Source organism: Homo sapiens, chromosome 3, assembly GCF_000001405.40.
Source record: "Homo sapiens chromosome 3, GRCh38.p14 Primary Assembly".
Lineage (NCBI taxonomy): Eukaryota > Metazoa > Chordata > Mammalia > Primates > Hominidae > Homo > Homo sapiens.
Genome location: NC_000003.12, coordinates 10,979,730 through 10,994,164, shown reverse-complemented (window position 1 = coordinate 10,994,164; position 14,435 = coordinate 10,979,730). Strand labels below are relative to the sequence as shown.

The following is a 14,435-nucleotide window of genomic DNA, read 5'->3' as shown; positions in this document are numbered from 1 at the left end:
ACTTCCCCCAAAGTTCCCAAAGACACAGAATCTAGGCACTATCCAGCACCCAACATCCCTACTCTCTTGCCAAACACCCACCTTGTGTGTCATAGAAAAACAAAGGTAGACCCCCAATGCCACTCAGTCTGATACCGTCTCTGATTTTTGGGGTGTCACAAATCTCAGGAGCCATTTTATTCCCGCCCTCCCCGCCCCCCCAGCTCTTCATGGGGATAAGGCTGAGCTTCCTGGGAAAGGGAATGAGCGCTCCAGCCCCACATCCGGAAAGAACGTGGTGTTATCATTTGGCTTTTAAAAAATTCTCCTTGTGGTTCATGTCTATTTTGGGAGGATATTAGCTCAGAGCCTCAATAGGGGACTGCCCGGTCTGAGTTTCTTGTCTGAAGACCGAGCCAAGCCTAGAACAGGACATCTGTGGGTGCCACCCGTGGGGACGTGTGCTCAGAACCCAATGGGCACTGCCCGAGGCTACCGTGGTGAGCGGTGTCGCGCCGGGGAGTACACGCAGAGACCAAAAGCAAGAAGGGGAGCGCAGTTCCCGAAGCAGCAAGGAGGCACCGTCCTCCAGCCCTCTAAGGGACCGCCCGCACCCCACATCTCTTGGAGAAAGTCGGGGCTGGGAGAGCGCGGCGCGAGCTCTGGTGCACTAGGCTTAGCTCCGGTGCACTCAGCCCAAGCCCCGGTGTGCTTTTAAGCCAACGTTTCTGAGAGCTCGGGCTGTCCCAGAGACGTCCCATCCTCAAGTCGCACCCGACCCCGCCGTAGCCCGCAGAGAACAAATGAGGGGCATAGCTCTAACTCGGCTCAGCTGACCCCAGGATTGGGAAAGTGGCGCACGGCCCCCCAACGCTGCTCGTGTCATTCACTCCGCGTCCCCTCCATGCCCTGGGGAATGAATAGGGAGCTTCGACGGCTCCAGCAGAATCCAGTGCCAACTTGCGGGGCCAGTGGGGCACCGCGGGAGGGAAGGGGCATGCAACTCTCGCCTCTGTTCCAGCCCTCCTGCCTCCCGAGTGTCCCAGGGGACGGATGGCCTGGGCGCACGTCGGGGTCCGAGCGGCGCCTCTGCTCCTTCATGTGGCTCAGGGAAGGTGCGGCGCGGGGGCTTGAATCTCGAGGTGTCCGCCCCCCACCCGGCCCGGCTCGCGGCAGCGGCTCGGGGCTCTGGCCGTTCCTGCGCCGTTATCCCAGGCTCTGCGCCCCGCGCCCCGACGCCGGCCGCCCTTTCCTACCTGCGGCCGGGGCTGCGCTGCCCGGGACAGGCGCTGCATCCGGGCGGCTCGGCCGCTCCGATGCGCTCGGGACGCGGGGCCGCTCGGGCTCGGGCTCAGCGCTACTGCGCTCCCGACTCCTCGGCTCCTGGGCTCAGCGCAGCTCACCCGCAACCTCTCCGCTGTCTCGGTCTTCCGAGGGCGGGCGGAGGGTCGCGGGGAAGGGAGAGGAGGGGGGAGCGAGTCCGGAGGGATGGAGGGGGAGGGCAGGGCCCGCGGCGCCCGGAGCCCGCCCAGCTCGGGTATAGCCCTGCCCGCACCGCCCGCCCCCGCCCAGCGCTCCCCCAGGCCCGCCGCGCGCTCCCTCCGCAGCTGCCTCTTGCAGCTTCGCCGCCAGCAGGCTCTCTCCTTTTCCCTTCACCTCCTCTCCCCTTCTACGCCTCCCCTCTCCCTTCTTTCCTCTCGCATTCTCCCGCTCTCTTCTCCCTCCTTCTCCCCTCTCTTCCTCCCTCTTTCTCCCCTCTCTTCCTCCCTCCCTCTCCCCACCCCCTCCTTCCCTCGCCTGCCCCGCCGTCCCGCTCCAATCTCTCTCCTTCCTTCTCCTTCCTTTGATGGCTCTTTCCGGCCTCATCCTGGGTCACCAGCCTGTCTGCCTGTCCGTCTTGGTCTCTGTCTCCCTGTCTTTCACAGCAAGCACTCCCCTCCTGGCTTTTCTCCTTCCAGCCTTGCAGTACTGCTTCCGTTGGCCTGTCCTTTCCGTTTCTCTCTGCGGTCGTCCTCTTTTCGCCCTCTGTGGGTCGCTGTGGGTTGGGGTGGGCCCGTGCCCCCTCCCTGCTCTAGTCCTAGGGCAGCGTCTGCTGCCCGTTACACCTGGAAACACAGGCCTGGCCTGGGGTGACCAGGCTCTGGGTACCAGCTGGGAGTGTGTGTAAGAGTGGGGGTGGGAAGGACACCCTTCCACTGCCAGCGGTTGGTCATGGAGACACAAGTGGCTGTGTGTATGGATGGACAGATGGGGAAACAGATTACTTAAAAGGGAAACAGGGATGGTGGCAGGAGCCCCAGACACCCTTCTCTCAGTTCTTGAGGTTTGAGGGATTCTCCCAGAGAAGTCCCCTTTCCAGCCAATCCCAATCCAGCACGTAGGGACTCCTTCCCTTGTCCTTGCCAAGGCCTGACCTCCCCACCCTCTTTTATAAAGGCTTCTGGGAATGGGGCCACATCTGCCCTTCCCTCTGGGGTCCCCAGGAACTCAGAGAAAAGATTCCTTCTCTCCAGCCCAGACCTACTCTTCCCCTCCTCTCTTTGTCCCCAGGGATGGCCTTTGCTGATGGACCTCAGGTCCTCTACCCCACCTAATCTGGCCTCCTCCCTGCTTTCATCCATCCTCGAGTCCCCCAGGGCAGTGCTCACCAAGGTCACCCTGACTTCTTCTGTTTCCCCACACTCTCACTCATGAGCAGGGAATCTTGGTGTCTTTCTTGACCCATTCACCTCCCACCACTGATCACCAGGTCATATGTGCTGTGGACTTCCGTTGGTATTTCAAATAAATATTTCCCGAGTTCCACCTGTGTGCCAGGCACTGTCCTAGGCTCCAGGGACAGAGCGATGGACAAGACAGGCCACAGCTTTCAAGGTGATGCCAGTCCAGTATGGGAGACAGGCTTTCATCAAATAACCGCACAAACCCAGAATGACAAGCTCTGCCAGGAGCACACATGCAGGGGATTCTAGTCCAGCAGGGGATTCCAGTCTAGTGTGGGATGGTTTGGGAAGGTTTCCTCAAGGAAGCGCCATTTGAACTGAGGTCTGAAGGATGAGTAGGAGCTGTCTGGATGGAGATGTGGGGCATAGCTTTGAGTGGAGATACAAGGGTAGCAAAAATGAAGGCTACTTTTGCTTGCCTGACATTCATTTCAACTTCTTTGGGTGACAGAACCTCAATTTTCATTTGGGAAACTTCCCCTCCTTCACTCATATTCAATATGGTTGGGTGGGGCTCCCTCCTCCTGGAGACAGACATGTGACCCAGGGCACAGATAATCAGAGCACATCACTCTGACCTCAATGAGGGGACGTGTGACATATGCTGGGCCAATGAGAACTCTGTCTGGGACTTTTGCTAAAACTATTGTCAAACAGAAACTCAATCTCCACCAAAGCTCCTAAGCATAGAGGTGTTGGCAGCCATCTTTGCAGAACTTGAGCAGACCCGACCTAAAATGAAGCCAACATAGAGGAGAGCAGAACTGAGAGACAGAGAGTGGAGTGAGTCTTGATGTATATCAGGTCCCTGGATCCAGCCATACCTGAAGGCAGTGTCAGCTATTTATATCATTAAATTGTTTTTCCTATGCTACACAAGTTTGAATTCAGTTTATGTTGCTTAAAACCAAAATAGTCTTCATGAATCCAGTGTTGGATTGAGAATTATGAAGCATTATAAAAAGGAATAATAATAGCCATTCCCATCCCCCTTTTGTCCTTCGTGTTTTCTGGGTAACCTCATTCACAATTGTCTCTCTGTTTTTTCTACGTTGCTGACCAGAAATGAATTCCTCTCTCTTTTCATCCCTCTGGATTTGTTTTGCTTACATATGAAAGCAAACTCTAGCTATCAGGTCAATTTCATAGGCTGACCATCTGATGCTTGAATTATCTCCATGACATTCCCTGCCCCCGCTGGCATTCTCTGCCCCTGCCCTACACCCATGACTGTCCAGCGTATGTCTGCATCTCTGCAAGGATGGGGAGAGCTCATTATTCCACCAGGAAGATGGTTTCCAACAAACTCTTATCACAGTCGAGCTCTGAGAGCTGTCTCTGGTGCAGTGAGACTTCAGATAGGGACACTATATTGTGAAGGCGAGGTAGTTGCATGCAGGGCTTCCAATACTCTTTCAAAAAGCCTGAGTTGAAGTCTTTCAGAGAACTCATATGCATACCTCCTGAGCTGGAGCTGTGGGCTCTGTAGAACAAGGTTTCCAAAATGTAGGCTGCCAACCTCTGATGGTAGGTAGGATAATTTTCAGTGGAGTGAAATAACTTGGAGTGAAACAGTTCTCCCCTATTCATCCCTTTGTTACATCCTTGTGATTTCTGTCAATGGGCAAGTCTCAGGTTGGTGCTGGTTTAGTCTTTAACACCTCTCCAAAGCACTGACTAATCCCATTTTAACTGAGAGGCTGCCAGCTTTGGTAGACAACAGTATCTAGTTAGAATTGAATGCTTTGCTCATTTGTCCTTGTATTTATTTTAATGGAGACCTATTTCTGGCAAGTAATATTGGCCTTCTAGTTATAGCATGATGTAAAGTTTCCTTTTGAGATACATTTATTTAATCTAAAAAAGGAAAATATTTAAGTAAATAAAAATAGACATGGTGTGCAGATTTTTGCAAAACTCTTGTGGCTGCTTTGCAAAGGACTAAAGTTTGAGTAGCCTAATTTAGAGAAACATTTTATCCATGTGTTCATTCACTCGACAAATATTTATTGAGCACCTACTGAGTACGAGGAATGGGGAGGACTAGACAAAGAGACAACACAGTCTGTCAGAGAGTCCATGACAAAGGGAAGGGCTTGAGCATGGAAGGTTCGCTTGCCACATTAAGGAGTTGGGTCTTGACCTTGAGGGGCACTGGGGAGCCACTGAGTGTTCTGGAGCAAAGGAGCAGGCAGGGTTTAAGAAAGCTGAAACTGGCCAGGTATGCAGGATGGATTAAAAGGGAGAAGATCAGAAGTGAGAAGATTGTCAGGAGGCTGCACTGTAGGTGTGAGACGAGGAGGACCTGGTGCCCAGCAGGGTTCCCAGCGCATAGTAGGCACCCAATAGATGGTGGAAATGTCGATTGTGAATGTCATTATCATAGTCCTCTCTCTTTCTCGAGTTGGGAGAGTTCATTGAGTCATAGACTCACAGGCCATTAGGCTAGAAATGGTCCTTAGATATTAGCTAGTTGAATGCTTTTGCAGGTAAACTGAGGCCCAGAGAGAGGCACTGACTTGCCTGAGGGTACTTGGCTATCTGCTGGCAAAGCCACGAAAACCATGCCTACTAGCTACATTTTTGAGCACTTGCTGCATGGTAATGATTGACACATGGGGAAACAGAGGTGTAGAGAGGACGAACCACTGGCCCAGAGACACACAGTAGGAGAGGAGCAGAGACTGGATCTCAGCTTAGGCCTGGGCTCCTCCAAAGCCAGGGCTCTGGGCCTGTAAGCTCATGAATCCTGCCAGGGAGTTTTTCTGCCGCCCCAGAGAGCCTCTCATTAGGCTATAGGTGACGATCTGGGAAGAAACCCAATCTGGGAGTCAGGACCCCCAGACTTGTCACCAACCTGCTTTGCTCTCCTGCCCGTTGTCCAGGCCCTCTGTCCAGGACCCCATCTGCTGCTCATAGCAGACTCTGTCTCCATGACAACAAAGAATCCCATATTCCAGGCTTTCCAAAATTGTAGTAACACTGAGAAGTCCCCCTTCAACCTAAGAAAATATCCCCTGTAGGGAAGCAGGCCTTCATTTTTTTTGTTTTCAGAAGAAATGTTATTACCTTAACCACACCCCCCTCCATGCCAGAAATTCCCCCATTAGCAAAAGGAGTCCCTGCATTAATGTGCGTAATCACTTGAGAAACCACAATAAGCCTCGCAGGAGATAATAAGACCTAAGTTCATTTTGTTATTCTGTCCCCGAGTCACGCTGGGACAGATCTTGGGCAACGAGGCCTCACTGCTGAATGTTTAAATATTTGTGCCTGTCATACCATGCTGAGATCAATACTTAAACACTCAACAGGCACATGCCTCCAAATGGGCAGCGCATGAAAAGACAGGCCAAGAGCAGCCATGGAGATGAGCCTGCCCCCAGGAGATGGCTTCATAAACATTTCTCCACGGCACATTGTACTATAGGTATTATGCTGTCTTTGAGCTAGACAGACCTTGGACATGTGACCTCCCCTTTCTAGGCCTCAGTTTTCTCTCTATAAAGTGCGAATGATAGTAGTCTCTACCTCAGAAGGTTGCTTGGAGAAAGCCAGCTAACGCCCTGGTATGTGGTAAATGCTCAGTATATGTTCATTGTTCTGCTGTGAATTGCAAGGAATATCCATGCCCTACCTCCCCAGCTGACAAGATTCTAGTTGAGGTTCAAGGTCAATCTCAAATGCTACCACCTCCAAGAATCTTGACTGATTTTTTCCCAACTACATATGATTTCTTCTCCACTGAAACTCCCACACAGACCTTACTACTGCCTTCCTTCAGCTTCTTACCACTCTCCCTTTGGTGGGGGCAGGGACTGTTTTCCCTTGGACTGCTACACACAGCAGGGCTCAATACTTGTTGACTGTGACCCTTACATTCTCTCGCGGGGTGCCTGGGACTCTTGAGTTCCCTTCCACGCTCATTGCCTGCATCCAGCCAAATGAGGCTACTTTCAGTGCCCCTCAAAAGGCTTCTACCTCTGGGCCTTCATATATGCTGTTCCCTCTGCTGGAAACACTGTTCCCTCATCCTCCCTCTTCTCCTGGTAAACTCTTTCTTACTCTGCAGGTTTCAGCTTGGGTGCCACCAGGACACCTCTGACCCGTGCAATAAATATCCTTTTTTTTTTTTGAGACAGAGTCTCAAACTGTCGCCCAGGCTGGAGTACAGTGGCATAATCTTGGCTCACGGCAACCTCTGCCTCCTAGGTTCAAGCAATTCTCCTGTCTCAGCCTCCTGAGTAGCTGGGATTTCAGGCTCGCACCACCATGCCCAGCTAATTTTTGTATTTTTAGTAGAGATGGGGTTTTGCCATGTTGGCCAGGCTGGTCTTGAACTCCTGACCTCAGGTGATCCGACTGCCTTGGCCTCTCAAAGTGCTGGGATTATAGGCATGAGCCACCACCTCCAGCTGGAAACATGCAATAAATATGTATTGAATAGATGAAGGCACTAAGGAAAACCATGCATTTGTGTCTCACTCAAGTATAAATTTTTGAGGGCCTGGGCGTCCACCCCTCAATGGACAGGATGTGAGGAGCAGGGCTCAGAGTTCAAAACCCCTTATTTTTTCTTCCCCGGGCAGTGCCAGCCTCCTGGGAATAAGAGCCCTGCCCAGTTGGCAAGGATTGGAATGTCACCGGTCACCTGTGGTGTCTGACAGCTAACACAGACTGGATCCTGTGTGCTGCACACCGAGGACACTGATGCATGTCTATCTGGAAACCCAAGGCTTATCTGGAGGGCAGCGAGGTGGTTGGGCTGGAGGAAAGACAGGCCTGGAAGGAAGGCACAAAGAGGCAGTCCATGCTGTGGAAAGAATGTGGACACTGGGGAGGGAAGACTGGATTCACATCCCAGAGAGTTATCCAGGAGCTATGCGACCATGGGCAAGTCATGTCTTTAAAATACCAAGTAACTATGTAAGTATTTATGGAGGTTCTCTTAGTGCTGGAGCCATTCACATTAACCACTGCAATCCTCCACCAAAAGACCCCATAAAATGGGTGGTGTTGTTCCCTTTTTATAGATTAAGACTCCACCACAGGCTAATGGGTGCAGCAAACCAACATGGCACACGTATACACATGTAACAAACCTGCACATTGTGTACATGTACCCTAGAACTTAAAGTATAAAAAATAAAAGACTCAAAGGATGAAACAACTTGTCCAAGGTCACACAGCCAGTAAGACCTGGTTTAAACCCTGGTGAGCTGCTTACTCTCTTGGGGCCTCTGTTCGGGAAAGGCACTGATTTCTTCAAACTTCTTTTTCATGGTCTGTGAAATGGGAATGAGATAGAGACTCCCAGTATGGCCCTGAAATCTGAATGAGGTCACCTGCAGTAGTGGAGAGGGCTCGGTAAATGCTGACTTGTATTGACTAACATGTGAATAGCTAACATTACTGAGAGCCTACTGTGCCAGAGAATATTCAAGCAGCTGTACAGCAATCCTTAGACAAGCCTGTGAGATAGGTGCTATCAATAGCCTCATTTTACAGGTGAGGAAACAGGCACAGAGAGGTTAAATCACTTGCCCAAAAGCACACCTAGAACTGCTAGAGATGAGATTTGAAATCAAATAGTTTAGCTTGGGCTTCTAACCATTTTCTTACTATGTAGAAAGTGCCTTCATATGTATAAAGTGTCACACCTATGTAAGGATTTTTTCTTGGTCTTATCTATAGAGCACTGATGTGTGGTGCAGATGCAAGTATGGCTGTTAGAGTAATTAAGAAAGGGTGGCTGGGCACAATGGTTTACACCTGTAATCTTACCACTTTGGGAGGCCGAGGTAGGAGGATCACTTGAGGCAAGGAGTTCGAGACTAGCCTGGCCAACATAGTGAGGGCCCATATCTACCAAGATAAAGAAAGAAAGAAAGAATAGGAAAAGAAAAGAAAAGAGGGAGGAAGGAAGGAAGGAAGGAAGGAAAGAAAGAAGGAAGAAAGGAAGGAAAGAGTTAAAAATCACAGCATGTCCTCACAGCCGTGTGGCCTATGGCAAGTTCCTCAACATCCCTGCTTGTGTCTCTGCTTCTAGGGCTGGTTGCCTGGGTTCAACAGAGCAATGCATACCAAGTGCCTTGTGCCCAGCCAAATGTGGCAGTTTATACAAAGGCAGTCCTAGGAGAGGGCTTTTGGTGGCTTTTAAAAATGATATCACCTTGGAAGCAGCTCTTGAGATAAGCATCTGTGAAGAATGTGCTTCTAAGAAGAAGATGGGAGAATAACTTCCCTGCTGCCAGGCCCTTGGGTGCCTCCCTGACCCCACTGCACCCATAATTGGTGGTGACAAAAGCCACCAGCCACTAGATCTCATCAACTTGCTTTCTTGCCTCTCCATGGGGCTGGAGTGACCCACAGTAGCCAACACACCTTATCTGCTGGGCTGGCTAGCAGCCTATGAAAAAGTTTTTCAAATTGGGGTATAACATGCAATAAAGTGCAGAAAGAGCTCTAATTCTGAGTGTATAGCTCAGTGACATTTTACAGGTACACCCATCCATGTACCTACTGCTGGAGCAAGCTGTAGAACATTTTTACCTTCCCAGAGATTCCCAGTCAATATATCACCCCAAAAGGTAGCCACTATAATGACTTCCATTACCATAAGTTAGTTTTGCCTGTCCTTGAACTTCACACAAATAGTGTCATACTCTCATGTGCCTGGCTTCTTTCATTCCACATCATGTTGGTGAGATTTATCCTTGCCGTTGGATGTAGCAATCATTTGTTATTTTCAGGTCTGTATAGTATTCCCTTGTACAGATATGTTGCAATGTATTTTTCCATTCTCCAGTTGATGGACACTGGATTGTTTTCTGCTCCAGGGTACTCTAAATAGTGCTGCTGAGAACATTTTTATACATGCCCTCAGGTGCACATGTGAATGCACTTCTGTTCAGTGGTTCTTCTTCCACACTTACTGATTTCATGATAAAAAGCCATGCATTTTTAGGCCAAGACTCACTTGCAGAATTGTCTTTCTAATACCTAGGAGTGGGATTGCAGGTCCTGGGGAGGTGTGTGTTGAACTTTGGTAGATTTGCCAGCAGCCCATTTAAGAGCTCTGAGTCTCCATTACTAAGAAGCCAAACCTGCCTCTTTCAACAAGAAGGAGCTCTGAGGCCGAAGGCGACATGCACAGGGCTCTGAGGCCAAAGGCGACGGGCACAGGGCTCTGAGGCCGAAGGCGACGGGCACAGGGCTCTGGTTCCACATCCATGGTGCTAAGGGATGCTCTGCAACCCTTTCACTCAGAGGGTTCAAAGGCAATTTAATTCCTCATCTGACAACCCTGATCCTTAACCTATTAAAATATTTACCCATTGCTACTCTTGTTGATACTGCATTCTATACGGGCACCTTTACTTACATTAAAAAAAAAAAAGTTTTTTAGTGCCTGCCTTTGCTGAGGAGTGGGTGGCCAAGATGACAGTTGGACATGTTGCCGGGCCCCTTTCCCTATGGCCTTGGCAGTCAGGGACCTGTGAAGGCCTAAGGGTCTGCTGTCTAGACCAGGGGGTCAGCAAACTTCCTTGGAAGAAGACCAGGTAGTAAATATTTTAGGGTTTGCAGGCCGTAAGATCTCTGTTGCAACTATTCAACTCTGCTGTGTAATCCACAAGATAATATATAAGCAAGCGAGCATGGCAGTGTTCTAAGAAGACTTTAGTCACAAAAACAGGTTGTGGGGCTGCAGACTTGGCTGATAATTCATAGTTTGCTGACCCCTGGTCTAGACTGTCCTCAAAGTGTAATCCATGGACCATCAGCTGCATTGGTCTCACCTGGGAACTTACTATTATGCAGAATCTCGGCCCTTCATCTCCAATCTGTTTAATTAGAATCTGCATTTAACAAAACCCCAGGAAACTCACCTGCACATTAAAGTTGCAGAAGCACTGGCCTATGGCAGAATTTTCCCTAGTGTCAGATTCTACCACTAGAGGGCCAGGAGAGGATTCCGGGTGAGACCTGGACCTGGCACTAGATGACACAGACTCGCAAACGTGGAAAGTGACCTCCTCTTCAATTCACACCTAATCCTTCTGTTCACATGAAAAAGAAAGTCTCACAGTGGTGCTGCCATGAATTTAACACCTCTCCAATCCTTGCTAATCTCCTTTTTCAATACAGAGCTGGCCTCAGCTTCCTTCCTGAAACGGAGTCTGGCTGGAATTTAATAACATTGCTCTTTGTTTGTTATTTTTGTTGTATTTATTTTAACAATTTCTATTTTGGCAAGGGATATTAGCTTTCTATTTGTAGTGGCAGTGGTGGAATGTTTCCTTTTAAATAAGTTTATTGTAGTTTAAAAGTAGGGATTTATTTAAAGAAAGATATTAAGTCAATGACAATCTGAGTACGTGCAGTCCTGGCAAAATTCCTAAACAGTGGCATGAATGTTTCAAAAAAAACCTTTTTGATGTGGCGTGTGAGTCACAGAAACTTAAAAAATACGGTCGGGGAGGTGCAGAGAGTGGCTCACCTGGATTCCAGCTGTCACTCAAACATGTGATTCTGGGCAAGTCACTTTCCCTCTTGGACTTTCTGTTTGTTCAGCTGGATTGTTACAGGGGTGGTACAGGACAATGGTCCCAGTCCTGGGACCCCACTGATCCCTGGATCTTCCTGTGGAGGTGCCTCTGGGAGGCAGTTACATGTGAGTGATATTTCCTTGTGTGATAGAGTTTCCCCCATGCAATTGAACTCCTATTGCCCACCCTGGTAGCTGGCTCAATCATGCACCCTACTTTGAGGGGCTCAAGGGTATCTATCTTGAATTCAACTAGTACAGTTGCACTTTTATAAGCTGGACTTCTACTGATTATTTTGATATAATTTTTGTGTGGCTAAAGATAAAACCTGGAAGTCACTGGCCTTAGGATGTTAAAGGGCTACTGATTATTTTGATACAATTTTTGCGTGGCTAAAGATAAAACCTAGAAGTCATTGGCCTTAGAATGTCAAAGGGCTACTGATTATTTTGATACAATTTTTATTTGGCTAAAGATAAAACCTAGAAGTCACTGGCCTTAGGATGTCAAAGGGCCATCTGACTCATTCAATTCAGATCTAGAGTGTGACTCCATCCTAAATTCTTTTGCTTGCAGGAGATGGAATCTGAGCTGAAACCACCTGAAACATCAAATGAAATTTATCGACTTGCACAGCTAAAATGCCAGGAGTATATCTTGTCAGCATGGCTGGATCCATCCCCGCCCCCAGCCTCCATTTCTCAGCTCTGCTTCCCTGAGAGTTGGCTTCATTCTCCCCACGTGTTGACAGCATGGCTGTCAGCAGTTCTAGACAAACACCCTTATCCTCTCAAGAGGAAAGACTCTTTCATTCCCAGCCTTTCCGGCAAATTCCTAGGGCTGGTTCTCATGGGGCTAACTTGGCCCACAGACTCATTCCTGAGCCAGTCGTTGTGGTCAGAGGTATTTGTCTTTTTCTGGCTAAGCCTGATTCACATCCACCCCATTTCTACGGAACCTGGGGTGGAATTAACCCACCTGAACCACATGCCAGGTACTGCCAGCTATTATACTCAACCCTTTGTGTGTATGAACTCATTTAATCCACATGAGACCCCGTGTGGGTGGTCCCATCCTTGTTGCCCATCATATAAAGACTGGAGGCTCAGTGAAGTGACGTACTTGCCCTAGGTCCCCTAGGCAGGATTCAGATCCACTAGTCTCGACCATGATACTATCCTGTGTCTTGTTAGGACTGAATTTGGAGAAGTAATTTCCTACCCTCGTGCCCAATTGAGGGTTGTAACTAGGTCAGGGAAAATGGTTGCTGAACAGGCAAAACCTTTATATATGTCCAGATACCACTTGAAAGAGTTTGAACTTAGTGTAGGAGTCCTGGAGAAGGATGTGATTGGATCTGAGTCTTAGAAAGTTCCTTCTAGAAGACATATTGTTGGTGACCAAAGCTTCTGTTAGAGTGTGTCTGGATCTCAGCTTCTGAAGGAGGTTATTGTTTGGTCTTTCCCAGAAGCATACCCTGAGATGAGGACTTGAGTGCAGGCAGTTTATTTGGGAGATGCAGAGAACCTGGGTAGGGAAGTGAGATTGGGAAGGGAAGGCAGCCAATATAGGGTGTATGATTGAGCCAGCTACCAGGGGTGGGCAACCAGAGTTTAATTGCCTGGAGGAAACTCTAGGAAATAGCGTAGCACATGCACCTCAGAATTATCCTACTCAAGGAGAGAGGGAGCTGGGGTATTTGTACACCAGATCCTGCCAGCCATCAGTTGAGGGCTGCTTCTCAGGGTGTTAGTTTCTCAGTCTCTGGACTAGCGAGCACTTGGGCACAACAGCCTTCTGGGGTTATAGAAAAGCCCCCAGGCACAGAGGTGCAGGCAATGGTGGTGGAAGGTCGGCCAGACCAGCTGGGAAAGGTAAAGTCTAGAGATACGAGTGGCACACTGCGTCTCCTTCAGTGGGAAAGGAGTGGGCACTGCAAAGGTAGCTTATGCCTGATGGGGCTTTGCCAGTGAGCCTTACCCTGAGACCTTATTCATTTTCTGGGATTTTCACCTTCCAAGAGTAGTGGGTAGTGGAATCCAGAGGCAAGAATCCTGGCCTTGGAGTCAGAAGGCCCCAGTTCCTGTAGGACTTCCTAGCTGGGCCTCAGTCTCTTCCTTTCTTGCATGGGCACAGCCGTGAATACTCAAGAGAGGTGTTGAGAGGCGGAAGGAGTTTGTGCACTCAAGACCTAGCATGGAGTGGCTGTCCCATTAAGGCTCATGGCATCCACACATCTCTATCTTAGGAAATCCAGAAGCAGCAAACGCTCGCTGTGCTCTCATTACTTGCCATGAGAGTGGCAGCTAATCACAATATCATTATTTAGGAGAAAAAAATGGATTCAGCATTTTTATCCCAAACGGAAGCTATTGACGTTCCTAGAATAGTTCTGGGAGAGGGAAAGCCCACCGTTAAATGCTCCTTCAGAAACAATTGGCAATCAGTGGGCCAGGCACAGGGCCAGCGCTGAGGTCCTTTCTGGTCCTCTCTGATAAAGGGAATGAAGCGCTCCAAAGGAGGCCATGGCTGGGGGCAGGCAGGCACCAGGACAGGAATTGAAATCTTAATGGGAGAGAAACCTGCAGAGCCCTTGGATTTCTGCTTGTCTGCCCCAGGCTGATGGGGACTGGGGAGAGATTGGCAGTTGGGAGAAGAGAGGACCACAAGGTGTTTCTGCACCTGTTCCCTTCCCACCCCTTTCGTGCCTTCCCCTCCCCTCCTCTCTCTACTTCCAGTTTTAACTTTCATTCGCTCTTCCCCCAACTCTCTCTCCTTTATTTTCTTATTTTGTTCTCTTTCATTTTCCCTCTTTAAAAATATTAATTACAGGCCAGACATGGTGGCTCATGCCTGTAATCCAAGCAAGGTGGGGGCATTGGTTGAGTTTAGGAGTTTGAGACCAGCCTGGGCAAAGTAGCAAGACCCCACCCCATCTCTGCAAAATGTTTTATAAGAATTAGCTGGGTGTGGTGGCGCACACACGTAGTCCTAGCTACTCAGGAGGCTGTGGGGAGAGGATCATTTGAGTCTGGGAGTTTGAGGCTGTGGTGAGCTGGGATTACGCCACTGCACTCCAGCCTGGGCAACAGAGCGAGACTCTGTCTCTAAAACAAACAAACAAACAAAACAAAGTTAGACTGGGTGTAGTGGCTCATGCCTGTAATCCTTGTACTTTGGGAGA

General features: G+C 49.3%; 1 protein-coding gene across 5 annotated transcripts in view, besides 2 other annotated features; it reads right to left on the bottom strand.

Moving 5' to 3' along the window:
- The window catches only part of SLC6A1 (solute carrier family 6 member 1), a 46,500-nt gene extending 45,083 nt beyond the window's left edge, over positions 1-1,417 (bottom strand). For all 5 annotated transcript variants that reach the window (NM_003042.4, NM_001348252.2, NM_001348250.2 and 2 more), the window contains exon 1: positions 1,236-1,417. The gene's annotated coding sequence lies outside the window, so the exon portion shown is untranslated. The remainder of the gene's footprint in view (positions 1-1,235) is intronic.
- Positions 573-1,097: an enhancer, noted in NCBI's record as "H3K4me1 hESC enhancer chr3:11034754-11035278 (GRCh37/hg19 assembly coordinates)". NCBI's record gives its function as "activates a minimal SCP1, AML or CMV promoter by ChIP-STARR-seq in naive H9 embryonic stem cells {active_cell/tissue: H9 hESC(naive)}" and the evidence as "EXISTENCE:reporter gene assay evidence [ECO:0000049][PMID:30033119]".
- Positions 10,271-11,049: an enhancer, noted in NCBI's record as "OCT4-NANOG hESC enhancer chr3:11024802-11025580 (GRCh37/hg19 assembly coordinates)". NCBI's record gives its function as "activates a minimal SCP1, AML or CMV promoter by ChIP-STARR-seq in naive H9 embryonic stem cells {active_cell/tissue: H9 hESC(naive)}" and the evidence as "EXISTENCE:reporter gene assay evidence [ECO:0000049][PMID:30033119]".